Genomic DNA, 16,154 nt, shown 5'->3' on the forward strand with positions numbered 1-16,154 from the left:
AGGGGTCATGAGGTTGAGACTTTTATGGCTCCACTCTGAGTTTTCATAGGGAGCCTTTCTCCCAATACCAGACAAGCACTGCCTGTATGATTTTTCTCTGCTTAGGCATGCTGACAGGTCAGAGAGCTGGCTCTAGAGTCGGCATCAGGAATGCACCTGCCCTAGTCTCAGGGCACCAGGCTTGATTGTGAGCTGTTGCCTAGCAACAAGTCCCTGTGGCTCGCTGGATGAGACCTCCGTGGAGATGCATCAGTGGTGGACTCTTATCTGTCTTCTCTGTGGGATCCACAATATAGTCCCATGATTTTAGGAAAGGGGAGATGTAAGCCAGCCTAAGGAAAGGTCAAGCATAGCCCCAGGAATAAATCAAGAAATACCTAAGAATCCAAAAAGATCTGCAGGGTTCCTCAGGTCTGCCTACAATTTGTAGTGGTGAGCCTTTTTGCAACTTGCCCAACTGTGATTACTAGGTACAGCACACGAGTGTAACCAGGTGATGCTCTCTCCTAGGTGGGGCTTCCTGTAGAATTATGCAGTCTCTGGAACTGCTGAACTGTGTGTTTCTGTGCAAGTGTTGTGAATGTTGGATGTCTGCTTGTATGTGTGAGTGTGTGTGTGTACGCATGCCTGTAAGTGAAGTCTGCTTAAAGGAAGGTGGCTAACACACCAGCACTTCTTTTGTTTTTTGAGTCTCCCAACCTTTTGGTGTCCTGTCTGTGTGGCTCAGCTTTGGTTAAGGGGCTCTGTGTTCCTTATTTTTCTGTGGATCATGAATCCACAGTGAATACAGAGGCTGGCTGAGACCCGCAGTCAGCCAAAACACCTTCCACTGAAAAAAAAAGAAAAAAGAAAAAGAAAAAGAAAAAAAAGCCAGTCTTCTGAAAAGAAGACTAGCACACTACACACACACACACACACACACAGACACACACACATAAAAAATAAATAAATAAGACATCTCCCAGTGTTTCACTGTCCTGCAGCCAACCAAGGAAGAGACATGAGCAGTCCTGTCCCCAGGGCCTTTTGAATTTAACTTGAATTCTGTTGCAACTGAGCAGGTGCTTCATGTCATGAGAGGGTAATCCCCCATCATCTTGGGATTTCATCATGAGATGTAGAGTAGGAGCAGCAATAGGTCAGATAGAGGTGAGGACACAATGTGGTGAGGGGTGGATGCTGTACCACAACTTCACCTACAAAAAAAATAAAGACAGATGATACAGAAGGTGCTTCCAACTCCATTTTCACATTCCCTTAATTAAACAATTAGTCTACACCATGGGCCTAGTGTTCAGGTGGGAGGACTCCAACATGCAAGGAGCATTTCTAGTGCAAACTGGGGCCATCCAGGCAAACTCCTGATTTGAGGGCTTTCACACCTGGAGCCAAATAGGAGTGGAATCAATTGATGCTGGTTGGGATGTGGCCTCCAAACTTGCCTCTTCTTTTCTTGACTTCCATGTTCCTTGTTGGTCTAGTGTTTCCTGGGTCTGGCTCAATGACTTCCACACTAAACGTTTCCCAGTTCATGGCTTACAAACCTCTTCAGAATACATTCCATGATTGTTTTCTTGTAAAAACTCTCAAATTGTAATGATTGGGAAATTATGATACTTTTAAAAGCATAAATTCTCATTAACAGTACCAACAAGGAAAGTTATTATTTTGCTTCTATCGGAGGGCTGCATGATTCCTGTAGAATGAGAAGCAGGCAGCAAAGTCTGGCTTTTGCCTGGTAATATAGTCTCTGTTTTATTTCATCTGCATGGCTCTCTTATTTTGGAGGGTCTTTTTCATTGGTCTGTTGCTGTATGAAACTGCCTCTCACTACAGATAATTTAGCTTCCAGGTATTTCAGAGAACAAAACAGACTTCATCTGGGCTGGCTGCACTCCAGGTTGTGGGCCATTGTTTCATTGTGGGGGATAAGGCGGTTTGCACTTTACATGAGGCTATTGAATCTTCTGACAGGAATCATTGACTATTGCTTGGACTCCAGCACAAGGCAGCTTCTTCTCTCAGGCTAGCCTTGATTTCTTTTCTTTTCTTTTTTCTTTTTTTCAGAGTCTCCTAACCTTTGGGTGACCTGTGTTTCTCTACTTAAGCTGTGGAACTCTGTGTTCTTTATTTTTCTGTGAGTCATGAATCTGCAGTTAATTGGGAGGCTGGCTGAGACATACCACTGTCCAAATCACATCTCCCTGTAAAAAAAGAGAGAGAAAAAAAGCCACTCTTTTAGAAAGAAGATAAGCATGTCACACCCAAGAACTTACATCTCTCTGTGTTTCATTGCTCTGTGGCAAATCCAGGGAGAGACAATAGCAGTCCTGTTTGCAAAGACCCTTAAATTTACCTAAATTCAGTTCCCATGCAAGCAGGTCCTTCACATCATGAAGGGGATCTCCTCCATCGCCTTGTGTTTTCATTGTGGGACATAAAGTGTGAGCAGCAATAAGGTCAGATGGGGTAAGGATACAATCTGGTGAGGGTAGGTGTAGTCCCACACATTAAACTGTAAATAAGGTGAAGACAGCTGATTCAGAAGGTTCTTCCAACTGCATTCCTGCATTCCCTTGATTTCACAAGTAACCACACCATGGCTCGGTGTTCATGAGGAAGTACTCCAACATGCAGGGAACGTTTGGAGTGCAAACTGGGGCCATCCTAGCTAACTCCCGATTTCAGGGCTTTCATTCCTGGAGCCAGATGGGAGTGGGATGGACTGATGCTCGGTGGGATGTGGTATCCACACTTTCCTCTTCTTTTCTTGACTTCCATGTTCTTTGTCAGCCTACGGTATCCTGGGTTTCACTCAACAACTTTCACACTAAATGTTTCCCACTTCCTGGAGGTTGACACCCAGGGGAATCAATTGTGTGAGTGTTTCCTTTTAAACACTGTCATGTTTTAGTGACTGGGAAGCTTTGATTTTTTAAAAGCAAAAATTCCCATTAAAGCCACCAACAGGGAAACTCTTGTTCTCCAACTTATTTATTTATTTTATTTTTATATTATTTTATTTTATTTTATTTATTTTATTTTATTTTTATTTTATTTTATTTTATTTTTTTGAGACAAAGTCTCAATCTGTTGCCCAGACTGGAGTGCAGTGGCATGATCTCAGCTCACTGCAAGCTCTGCTTCCTGGGTTTAGGCCATTCTTCTTCCTCAGCCCCCCGAGTAGCTGGGACTGCTAGCACCCAGCACCATGCTTGGCTAATTTTTTTGTATTTTTTGGTAGAGACAAGGGTTCATCCTGGTGTTATCCAGGATGTTCTTGATCTCCTGACCTCATGATCCACTCACTTCTGCCTCCCAAAGTGCTGGAATTACAACCATGAGCCACCGTGCCTGGCCCCTGTTCTCCCACTTCTATTGAAAGACTGCTTGATTCCTGCAGGATGAGAAGCAGCGAACCCTGTCTGGATTTGCCTGAAAATCAAGGCTTATTTCACTTCATCTTCATGTCCTTTCTCATTGTGGAGGGGCTCTTTCATTAAGCTTTTGTTGGACAGGAGTTCCCCCATCAACAGTTCTTTTGGCTGCCAGGGATTTCAGGTAGCAAAAGGGACCATGGGTAGGTTGTCTGTTCTCCCAGTGGTGTGTTGTGAACTTATTGTGGTGGTTCAGGTTGTTTGCACTTTGCAGAAGATTTCTGGGTCCTGTAGCATGAATCTTTGAATGTTTCTGGGACTCCAGGACAATTCAGTTTGTTCTCATAGGTGAGCCTTGACTTTTCTTTGTTTTCATGTAGGTTCCTAATTGCACCATGACAGCATTTCTGACATCTTTTTCAGGCTTTCAATCACCACAGATGGCTTCTGCAACACTATGTCCATCTCTTCTGCACACGTCAGAGACAAGTTTGAGGTATGGGAACACTGCTCCACCTAGCACTTGCATTTGTCATGGTTTCCGCCATTTCCAGAGAGCCCGTGTGAGGCCAAGGATGAAGGGAGGCAGTGAGGTCAAGGGTATGTCCATGATATTTTGACACTCACCTCTAGGGTCTCAGGTATGATTACATCACTCAAAGACCCTTTCAACAACTCACTAGACTGCATTCCAATCCCCACTGGACCCAATTCCTGCACTCAGCCCCTTTCAGGAATGGAGTCAGAAAAGTAGTTTCCAGTGACCACCTCACAGTCTCAAAAGTCCTCTTCCTGCAGCAGAATCTGACCACAGAGACAGTTTTAAAAGTCCCTAAAGTTTAGAAATATAGGGTACCACAGTGGGTAACTGCAGGCAGCCTCTTCCCAAATACCTAGCCACCTCTACCTGTTCCTCTTTCCTTAGCTTAGTCAGGCAGACAGCTCTTATAGCTGGGCACACAAACCTGACTCCTGAATGCACACACAGTAATCTCAGGGAACCAAGCCTCAGCTGTGAGTTCTGGCTAGCCTCATAATGCATGCCACCATTGCCTAATGACAAGTCCCTGTTTGGCAGAGGAGACCTTCGTGGAGGTGCATCGGTGGTATACTCTTGCCTGTCTTCTCTGTGGGATCCATGGGAGAGTCCCATGATCCTAGAAGCAGGCAGACTTGAGCCATCCTCAAGAAATTTCAAGCATAGCCCCAGGAATAAACCATGAAAGCCCTAAGGGTCCAAAAGGATCTGCGGAATGACTCTTGGGCTGGCTTGATATTGGAGAGATGAGTCTTTCTGAAACTTGCCCCTCTGTGATTTCTAGGTACAGCCCGCCTGTGCTCCCAAGGATTGTTCTCTCCCAGATCGTGCTTCCTGCAGAACCACACAGCCTGAGAAACTGCTGGGCTGCGTGTTTCTGTGAATGTTTCAAGTGTTGAATTTCTGCATGTGGGTGTGGATTTGTGTTTCTGTGTGTGTGTGTTTGTGTGTGCTTGTAAGTGGAGTCTGCTTAAAGAAATGTGGATAACCCACTGCAGCTCTTTTTTTTTTTGAGTCTTTCAATCCTTTGGTGGCCTGTCCACATGGCTCCACTTTGGCTGCGTGGCTCCATGTTCTTTATTTTTCTGTGGATCATAAATTTGCAGTCAATTGGGAGGCTGGCTGAGACATGCCGTGGTTCAAATCACCTCTTCCTGCAAAAAAAGCCACTTTTCTAGAAAGCAGAGGAGAACACCACACCCAAGAACAGACATCTCCCAGAGTTTCACTAGCCTGTGGACAACCCAGGGAAAGACACTGGCAGTGTTTTCCTCAGATCCCCTCACATTTACCCTGAATTTGGTTCCCAGCCAAGCAGGTGCTTCACATCATCAGGGGACATTCTTTTATGGTCTTGGGATTTCATTCTAGCACAAAGAATATGAGAAGCAATGAGGTCAGATAGGGGTGAGAAGACAATCTTTCACTGATGCCCACCTCTGGGGTGTCAGGTATGATTCTATCACCCAAAGACCCCTCCTCAACTAACCAGACTACATTCCAATCACCATGGGACCCAATCCTTGTACACAATCTCTTTGGGAAATGGAGTCAGAAGAGCAGTTATCCATGACCACCTCATAGTCTTGAAATGCCTCCTCCTTCAGCAGGACCCAAACACAAAGATGGCCTGTGTGGCCCTAAGGTCAAAACATTTAGGGTTTTGCAGTGGGTAATTGCAGGCAGCCTACCTCCCAACACCAGGGTGGCTCTGCCTGTACCATTTTCCTCTGCTTAGGTAAGCTGACAACTCTGACAGCCAGGCTCTTGAGTTTGCCCACAAATAGGCATGATCTGGACTCAGGGCACCAGGCATGAATGTGAGCTCTTGCTAACATCACAATGAATGTCACCGTTGCCTAGCGACAAGTCCCTGGGGCTTGGCAGAAAAGATATTTGTGGAGGTGCTTCAGCGGCGGACTCTTACCTGTCTTCTCTGTGAGATCCATGGCATAGTCCCATTACTCGAGGAGAGGGCAGATGTGAGCCAGCCAGAAGAAATGTTAAGCAAAGCCCTAGGAATAAACCGCAAAATTCCCAGAGATCCAAAAGGATCTGCAGGATTTATCAGGCATGCCTATACGTTCTAGGGGTGAGTCTTTTTGAAAGTTGCCCCACTGTGATTTCTAGCTACAGCCCAGCTGTGTTTCCCCAAGTTCCTCTCTTCCAGGTGGGGCTTTCTGCAGAACCACACAGCCTCAGGATATGCCAGGCTGTGTGTTTCTGTGGGAGTGCTGCGAGTGTTGGATGTCTTCCTGTGTGTATGGCATTGTGTGTTAAAGTGTGTGTGTTGACTGTAAGTGGAGTCTGCTTAAGGAAATGTAGCTAACACAGTTCAGCCCTTGCTTTTGGAGTCTCAAAACCTTTTGTTTGCCTGTGTGTATGGCTCTGCTTGGGCTGTGGGACAACGTGTTCTTTATTTTTTAGGTGGATCATAAATCTGCAGTGAATTGGGAGACGTGCTGAGACCTGGCGGCATTCAAATTATCAACCCATGCCAAGAAAGCCACTCTTCTAGAAAGAAGGGGGGTACACCAGAGAAAAAAAAATCCCAGTGTTTCATTGTCATGAGGCTAAGCCAGGAAGAGACACTACAGTCTTGTCTGCAGAGCACCTTAAATTTATCTGTAATTCGGTTCCCAGCTGAGCAGGTGCTTTATTTTACGAGACGGCACTCCTCCATTGTTTTGGGATTTTACCCTGGGAAATAGAATGTAAGCAGCAATATCCCATAGAGGTGAGGATGCAATCTGATGAGGGGTGGATGTTGTCTCACAATTTCACCTGCAAAAAAAAAAAAAAAGAAGAAGAAGACAAATACCACAGAAGTTTCTTTCAACACCATCCTCAGATTCCTTTAATTGCAAAAGCAGTCCATAACATAGCCTGGTGTTCAACTGGGACTACTCCAGAGTGCAAGGAATATTTAGAGTGCAAATTAGAGCCATCCTTTCATACCTGAAGCCAAAAGGAAGTGGAATAGATTGATGCTTATTAGGATGTAACCTCCACACTTGCCTCTTCCTTTTCTGACTTTCATGTTCCTCATCATCCTGGGTTTTCCTGAGTCTAGCTCAGCAACTTCCATAGTAAATGTTTCCCCACTGACTGAGAACGACTCTCATGGGAATCCATCGTGTAAATGTTTCCTTCTAAACACTGTCATGTTTTAATGACTAGGCAACTTTGATAATTTTAAAATTCTAAATTCCCTTTACAGCCACCAACAAGGAAACTCTTGTTCTCCTGCTTCTATAGGAGGGCTGCATGATTCCTGCAGAGAGAGAAGCATGTAGCATTGTCTGACTTTTGCCTGGTAATCTAGCCTCTGTGTCATTTTATCTGCATGACATTCTCATTGTGGAGGGTTTCTTTAAATGGGCCATTGCTGGATTGGACTGCCTTTTGCCACAGATTGTTTAGCTACCAGGGATTTCTGAGAGCAAAGCGGACTTCGGGTCAGCTGGCTACACTCTAGGTTGTGGGTCATTTCCTCCCTCTGGGGGCTGAGGTTGTTTGCACTTTGTAGGATTCTTTTGGGTCCTCTGCCAGGAATCATTGAACATTGCTTGGACTCCAGCAGAAGGTAGTTTGTTCTTTCAGGTGAGACTTGATTTTTCTTTGCTTTCATGGGGAATCCACAGTACCCATCAACAGCACAACTGGACACATTTTTGTCAGCTTGCCAGCACCACACACCCCCTTTAAGAAACTGTTTTAACCTCATGTGCAAACTGGAGAGGCCAGTCCGAGGTGTGAGAACACTCTCCACGTTGGACTTGGCTTTGTCGTGGTTCCTACCTTTACCATAAAGCCCCAGATGAATGGAAGAACTGAGGTCAAGAGTTTGGCCATCTTTGACTGACAGCCATCTCTGAGGTCTCAGCTATGATTATATCACCCAAAGAACCCTTGAAAACACACCAGATTATATTCCAATCCCCATGGACCAGATTCTGGTACACAGCCTTCTTCATGAGTGGAGTCAGAAAAGCAGTTTCCAGCAACCCCCGCACAATGTCGAAAAGCCTTCTCTTCCAGCAGGACCAAACCACAGGATGGCCGATGTGTCCTTGACGTCAAGACTTTTAGGGTCTGACCATGGGTTTTCACATGGAACCTTTTTTTCTGATACAAGGACAGCTCTGCCTATACCATTTTCCTCTGCTTAGGCAGGCTGACGGCTCTGACAGCCGGATGCTCAAACCTGTGTCATGAATGCGCATGCACCAGTCTCTGGTCACGAGGCCTGATTGTGAGCTCTGTCTAGCGACACAATGAATGACACAGTTGCCTAGTAAAAAGTCCCTGCAGCTTGGCAGAGAAGACATCCGTGGAGGTGCATTGGTGGTGGGCTCTCGCGTGTCTTCTCTGTGGTATCCATGGGAATGTCCCATGATCTTAGGATATGACAGATGTGAGTCAGGCTGAAGAAACATCAAGCACCCCCCCAGGAATGAACCGCAAAATGCCTAAGCATCCAAAAATAATCCGCAGGATTCCTCAGGCCAGCCTACACACTGTAGGGGTGTCTTTTTGAAATTTCTCACATTGTGATTTCCAGGTACAGCCCACCTGTGTTCCCTGGGGTGTTCTCTTTCAGGTGGGGCTTCCTGCAGAACCACGCAGCCTCATGAGCTGCAGAGCTGTGTGTTTCTGTAGGAGTGTTGTGAGTGTTGGATGTCTGAGTGTGTGTGGCTTTGTGTGTGTGTGTGTCTGTGTGTGTGTGCACCTGTAAGTAAAGTCTTACAAAAATGTGGCTAAAGAACATCAGCACTTCATTTTTTTTTGTCACCCAGCCTTTTGTTTGCCTGTCGTGTGCCTCTGCTTGGGCTGCAGAGGTCCATGTTCTTTACGTTTTCATGGATAATGAATCTGGAGTGAATTAGGAGGCAGCCCAAGACCGTCAGTGTCAAAATCATTTCCCTCTGGAAAAAAAAAAAAAATCACTCTTCTAGAAAAAAGAGGAGACAACCATAGCAAGAAAATGGATATCTCATAGTGTGTAATTGTCCTGTGGCCAACCCAGAAAAAGACACTAACAGGCGTGTTGGTAGGGCAAGTTGAATTTACCTCGAATTCAGTATCCCACCGAGCAGGTGCTTCATGTCATGAGGAGGAGTGCCTCTATTGTCTTGGGATTTGATCCTAGGGCATAGAGTGTGAGCAGCAATAAGGTCATAAAGGGGTGAAGATACAGTCTGGTAAGGCATGGATGGGGTTCCGTAACTTCACCTCCAAAAATGATAATAACAATAAAGAGAGATTACACAGATGGTGCTTCCAACTCCATCCCCACCTTCCCTTTATTGTACTAGCAGTCCACACCGTGGCCCAGTGTTCAAGTGGCAGTTCTCCAATGTGAAAGAAACATTTGGAATGCAAACTGGGTCCATACTGACAAATTCCAGATTTGAGGGCTTACATACCTGGAGCCAAATAGGAGTGGAATGGATCAATGCTGGGTGGCATGTAGCCTCCACACTTTCCTCTTCTTTTCTTGACTTCCATGTTCCTCATTGGCCTAGAGTTTCCTGGATCTTGCTCAAAGATTTCCACACTAAATATTTCCCAGTTCTTGGAGAATGACTCTCATCTGTATCCATTTCATGAGTGTTTCCTTTTAAACACTGTTGCAATTAAATGACTGGGCAAATTTGATTATTTTTAAACTGTAAATTCCTGTTACAGCCAAAAACAAGGAACCTCTAGTTCCCCCACTTCTATCAGAGGGCTGCATGATTTCCACAAGATTAGAAGGATATAGCCACGTTGGCATTTTGCCTGGTAATCTAGCCTGTTTTATTTCATCTTCACTTCACGGCATTCTCATTGTGGATGGGCTCTTTTCATTGGGCTGTTTCTGGATGGGACTGCCTCTTGCCACATATTATTTAGCTCCCAGGTATTTCAGAGAGCAAAAGGGACTTCGGGTACGCTGGCTGTTCAGCAAGGTGTGGGTTGTTGTCTCATAGTGGAGGCTGAGGTTGTTTGCACCTTGCAGGAGGCTTTCGGGTCTTCTGAAAGGAATCATTGAACATTGCTTTGACTCCAGCACAAGGCAGCTCTTTACCTCAGATGAGCCTTGATTTTTCCTTGCTTTCATGGGGAATCGATACTGCCCCTCAACAACAGTACTGGACACCCTTTTGAGTCCTGCCATTGACACAGGTTACCTCTGAGACACTGTCTCAATCTCATCTGCACCTCTGAGAGGCCAGTTCAAGGTGTGAGAACATTGGTCTACCTTGGACTTGCCTTTGTCATGGTTCCTGTCTTTCCCAGGAAGTCTCTTGGGGGTCCAGGATGAAGGGAGGCAGTGAGTTGAAGGGCACAGCCATCTTTCACTGACATCAAACTCCGGTTCTCAGATATGGTTTTATCACCCAAAGAACCCTTGAAAACACAACAGATTATATTCCAATCCCCATGGGACCTGATTCTTGCACACAATCTCTTTCAGGAATGGAGTCCGAAGAGAAGTTTTCAGATACCAGCCCACAGTCTCAAAACACCTTCTCCTTCAGTGGGACCTGACCAGAGAGATGACTTATAGGGGTCATGAGGTCAAGATATTTATGATCTCACAGTGGGTTTTCGCAGGAAGACTTTTTTCTGATACTAGCATGGCTCTGACTGTACCAGTATTCTCTGCTTAGGCAGTCTGACAGCTCTGACAACCAGGCACCACAACCTGCCTCACAAACATGTATACACAAATCTCAGGGCAACAGGCCTTATTGAGAGCTTCGGTGACTGTCACAATAAATGTCACCACTGCCTAGTGACAAGTCTCTAAGGCTTTTCAGAGGAGTCTTCCATGGAAATTCATAGGCTGTGGACTCTCTCCTGTCTTCTCTGTCGGATCCACAGGACAGTCCCATGATTCTAGGAAAGGGCAGATGTGAGCCAGGCTGAAGAAACATCAAGCAGAGCCCCAAAAATAAACCTTGAAATCCATAAGGATCATAAAGAATCTGCAAGATTCCTCAGGTCTGCTTAGACGTAGGTGTAAGTCTTTTTGAAACTTGTCCCACTATGATTTGTAGGTACAGATTGCCTGTATTCCCTGGGGTTTCTGTCTCACAGGTGGGGCTTCCTCCAGAAACACGCAGCCTCAGGAGCTGCAGGCTCTGTGTTTCTGTGGGAGTTTTGAGAGTGCTGAATCTCTGGGTTTGCGTGTGGGGGGAGGTATTTTAAGTTTGTGTGTGTGTGTGTGTGTGTGTGGGTGTGTGTGTGTCTGTAAGTGAAATCTGCTTACAGGTATGTGGCTAACACACTTCAGTGCTTCTCTCTTTTTTTTTTTTTTGAGTCTTCAAATCTTTTGGTGGCCCATTTGTGTGGTTCTGCTTGGGTTGTGGGGCTCTGTGTTCTTCATTTTACTGTGGATCATGAATCCTCAATGAATCGGGAGGTGGGCTGAGACCCGCCTGCATCAAAATCAACTCCCTGTGCCAAAAAAGCCACTGTTGCAGAAAGAAGAGGAGGACAGCCCACCAAATAACAGACATCGCCCAGTGTTTTGTTGTCCTGTGGCTAAGCCAAGGAGAGACACTGGAATTCCTGTCCACAGGGCCCATTGAATTTACCTCGAATTCTGTTCCCAGCCTAGCAGGTGCTTCGTGTAGTGAGGAGGTGATCCTCTGTCGTCTTGGCATTTCATCCTTGGATATAGAATGTGAGCAGCCATAAGGTCAGATAAGGGTGAGGATGCAATCTAGTAAGTGGTGGATGTGGTCCCCCAACTACACATGCAAAAAAAAAAAAATGAAGGTAAATGACAAAGAAGGTGCTTCCTACTCCATTCCCGCTCTCTGTTAATTGTAGGAGCAGTCAAAACCATGGCCCAGGGTTCAGGTTGGAGTACCCCAATGAGCAAGGAAAATTTGGACAGCAAATTGGGGCCATCCTGGCAAGCTCTTGATTTGAGGGCTTTCATACCCAGAGCCAAACGATAGTACAATAAATTGATGCTGGGTGGGATCTGGCCTCCACACTTGACTGTTCTTTTCCTGACTTCCATGTTCCTCATCGTGCTCCACCTTGGACTTGCCTTTGTCGTGGTTCCTTTCCTCCTCAAAGAACCCATGTGATATCCAGGATGTAGCCAGGCAGTGCAGTCAAGAGTTTTGCCTTCTTTCACTGACAGTGGCCTGGTATCTCAGGTATGATTCTATCACCCAAAGAATCCTGAAAAACACACTGTGATGGAACCTGATGTTTGCACACACCTTCTTTTGAGAATAAAGTCAGAAGTGCAATTTCCAGAGACCATCACACAATGTCAAGATGCCTCCTCTTCCAGTGGGACCTGACCACAGAGATGGCCCAAAAGGTCCCCAAGGTCAAGATTTTTAGAGTCTTGGAGTAAGTTTTCACAGGAAGGCTTTATTCCAACACCAGGAGGGATGTTCCTGTACTGATTTCCTGTGCTTAGACATGCTGACAGCTCTGAGATTCAGGAGCCCTTGCCTGCCTCATGAATGTGCATGCAGTAGCCTCAGGGTACCAGGCCTTATTGTGATCTCTGGCTAGTGTCACCATGAATGTTGTCATTGCCTAGCAACAACAAGTCCCTGTGGCTTGGTGGAAAAGGAGACCTCCATGGAAGTGTGTAGGCAATGGAATCCAGCGTTTTCTATGTTGGATTCATGAGATAGTCTTCTGATCCCAGGAGAGGGCAGACCTGACTCAGCCTGAAGAAACATCAAGCAAAGCCATAGGAATAAACAGTGATGTTCCAAAAAATCTAAGAGGATCTCCAGGATTTCTTAAAACTCTATATATGTTGTAGGGATGAGTCTTTTTGATACTTGCCCCACTGGGATTTCTAGATAAAACCTGCCTGTGTTCCGGTAGGTTGCTCCCTCCCAGGTGGGGCTTCTTGCATAACCACACATTTTCAGGAGCTGCTGAGCTGTGTACTTCTAAGGGAAAGTTGAGATTGTTTGATGTCTGAGTGTTTGTCATTCTGTTTTAGTTATTTTTATGTTTATTTTTATGTGTGCGTGTGTGTGTGTGTGTATGTGTGTGTGTCCCTGTAAGTGGATTCTGCATAAAATATTGAGGTTAATACAGTTTAGCGTTTCTTGTTTTTTTTTTTTTTTTTTTGAGTCTCCCAACATTTGGTGGCCTGTCCATGTGTGGCTCTGCTTGGGCTGTGGGACTCTGTTTTCTTTATTTTTCTGTGTATCGTGAATCCACAGCAAATTGGGAGGTGTGCCAGGAACTGCAAAGTTCTGAATCACCTCTGCTTACAAAAAAAAAAAGAAAAGATAATCTTTTAGAAAGAAGAGAAGCACACCACACTAAAACAAACAAACAAACAAACAAACAAACAAAAACCTTTCTTAGGATTTTATTGTCATATGACCAACCCAGGGAGAGACACTACTAGTCCTGTCCACAGGGCCACTTGAATTCACCTAAATTTTCCCCAGATGAGTAGGTGCTTCAAGTCATGAGGAAGGCCTCTTCCATCATATTGGGACTTTATCTTGGGACATAAAATGTGAACAGCAACAAGATCAGATAGAGGTGAGGATACAATCTGGTGAGAAATAGATGGGGTCCCTCAACTTCACCTGCAACGAAAATGAAGAGAGATGAGTCAGGAGGTGCTTCCAACATCTTCCATGCATTCCCTTAATTGCACAAGAAGTTCACACCATGGCCCAGTGTGCAGGTGGGAGTACTCCAACCTAGAAGAAGTATTTAGAGTGCAAATTGGGGTCATCCTGGCAAACTCCCAATTTGAGGGCTTTCATACCCAGAGCCAAATGGGTGTGGAATGAACTGATGCTGTGTGGAATGTGGCCTTCATACTTGCCTCTTTTCCTCACTTCCATGTTCCTCGTTGGCCTAAGATTTTCTGAGTCTGGCTCAACGACTTCCACTATAAGTGTATCCAAGTTCAGGAAAAACGACCCTCATGGGAATCCATTGTGTGAGTGTTTTCTTCTAAACACTCGTGTTTTAATGACTGGGCATCTTTGATACTTTTATAACCATAAATTCCCTTTACAGCCCCCAAGAAAAAAACTCTCAGTCTCCCGCTTCTATGTAAGGGCTGCATGATTTATGTAGGATAAGAAGCAGGAAGCCATGTCTGAATTTCACCTGGTAATCTAGCCTTTGTTTGGTTTAATCTGCACGACATTTCTCATTATGGAGAAGGTCTTTCATTGGGCTGTTTCTGGATGCAACTGCCTCTCTTTACAGAGCTTTTGGCTGCCAGGGATTTCAGTGAGCAAAAGGTCTTCAGGAAGACTTGCTTCACTCAAGGTTGTGGTTCATGCTCTCTTTGTGGAGGCTGAGGATTTTTGCTTTTTGCAGGAGATTTTTGGATCCCCTGACAGGAATTTTTAAATGTTGCTTGGACTCCAGCATTAGTCAGCTTGTTCTTTCAAGCTAGCCATATTTTTCCTTGCTATCACCTGGGGTCCACAGTGCCTCTCAACGGCACTACTGAACACCCTTTTCAGGCTTCCCATCTCCACAGATGGCCTCTGAGACCCTATCTCAACCCTACCTGCATCTGTGAGAAGTGAGTACGAGTTGTGAGAAATCTGCTCCTTGTAGGATTTGCCTTTGTCATGGTTTCTGCCTTTTCTAGAGAGCCCCTGTGAGGCCCAGGATGAAAAGAGGCAGTGACATCAAGGTCCCAGCCATCTTTGCTGACACCTGACTCTGGGGTCTCAGGTATGATTCCAGTATCCAAACACTTCTCAACAACTCACCAGATGACATTCCTATCCCCGTGGAAGCAGATTTTTGCACATAGAGTCTTCTGGAAATGGAGTCAGAAAAGCAGTTTCCAGAGACCACCTCACAGTATCGAAACACCTCTTCTTGCATGACCTGATGACAGAGGCAGCATGAAAATCCCCCGAGGTTGAGAGCTTTAGCATCCCACAAGGGGTTATCGCAGGCAGACTTTTTTTGGGACGCCAGGCCGGCTCTGCCTTACCATTTTCCTCTGCTTAGGCAGGCTGCCAGCTCTGAGAGACAGGTGCCTCAGCCTGTCTCCTGAATGAACCTGCAGTAGTCTCAAGGGACCAGGCCTGAGGTTGAACTCTGGTTAGCTTCACAATGAATGCCACCGTTGCCTAGAAAAAAGTTTCAGCGGCTGTTTGGAGAAGGAAACCTCCAGGTAGGTGCGTAGGCAGTGGACTCTCACCTGTCTTCTCTGTGGGATCGAAGGAATTGTTCCACGATCCTAGGAAAGGGAAGACATGAGCCAGCCTGAAGAAACATTAAGCAGAGTCCCAGAAATAAACTGTGACATCCCTAAGTATCCAAAAGGATCTGCAGGATGCCTCAGGCTGGCCTAGACCTTGTAGGCATGGGTCCTTTAGAAACTTGCCCCACTGTGATTTCTAGGTACAGCCCACCTGTGTTCTTCATGGTTGCTGTCTCCCAGGTGGGGTTTTCTGCACAACCACACAGTCTCAGAAGCTGCTGGGTTGTGTGTTTCTGTGGGAGTGTTGTGAATGTTGGATGTCTGTGTGTGAGTAGCTTTGTGTGTTTGTGTGTGTGTGTGTCTGTGTGTTTGTTCCTGTAAAGGGAGTCTGCTTACAGAAATGTGACCGATGCACTACAGTGCTTCTTTTTTGTTTGTGTCCCAACCTTTTGCTTGCCTGTCTGTGTGGCTCTTTTTGGGCTGAAGGGATCCATGTTATTTATATTTCTGTGGGTTATGAATCTGCAGTGCACTGGAAGGCTGGCTGATACCTCCTGGAATCCAAATCAATTCCCCCTAGAAAAAAAGCCACTCCCCTAGATAGAAGAGAGGCACACAAAACTTAAAAGAGACACCTCCTAGTGTTTCATTGTCCCATGGAAACATGGGAAAAAAGCATTAGCAGTCCTGTCTGCAGGGCCCCTTAAATTTTCCTCAAATTTCGTTCCCAGTTGAGCTAGTGATTGACATCCTGAAATAGCACTCTTCCATCATCTTGGGATTTGATTCTGGGATACAGTATGTGAGAGCAATGAGGTCAGATAGAGGAGAAAATACAAGCTGGTAATGGGTAGATGAGGTCTTGCACCTTTACCTGCAAAAGAGGTGAAGACAGATGACAAAAAAGTTGCTTCCAGCTGCATCCACGAATTCCCTTAATTGCACAAGCAGTTCGCACCATGGCCTAGTGTTCAGAATGGAGTACTCTAATGTGCAGGGAACATTTGGAGTGCAAATTGGTGCCATGCTTGAAAAGCCCGATTTAAGGGCTTTCATA

At 45.5% G+C, this 16,154-nt stretch overlaps 1 long non-coding RNA gene across 1 annotated transcript; it reads left to right on the forward strand.

Moving 5' to 3' along the window:
- The first annotated feature begins 5,885 nt into the window (after positions 1 to 5,885).
- LOC107987340 (uncharacterized) lies at positions 5,886 to 6,727 on the forward strand. The gene is made up of 2 exons (XR_001756057.1): positions 5,886 to 6,007; positions 6,343 to 6,727. It is a non-coding gene; the product is annotated as an uncharacterized LOC107987340 (long non-coding RNA).
- The last annotated feature ends 9,427 nt before the right edge of the window (positions 6,728 to 16,154 follow it).

This window comes from Homo sapiens, chromosome Y (genome assembly GCF_000001405.40).
Source record: "Homo sapiens chromosome Y, GRCh38.p14 Primary Assembly".
Taxonomy (NCBI): Eukaryota; Metazoa; Chordata; class Mammalia; order Primates; family Hominidae; genus Homo; species Homo sapiens.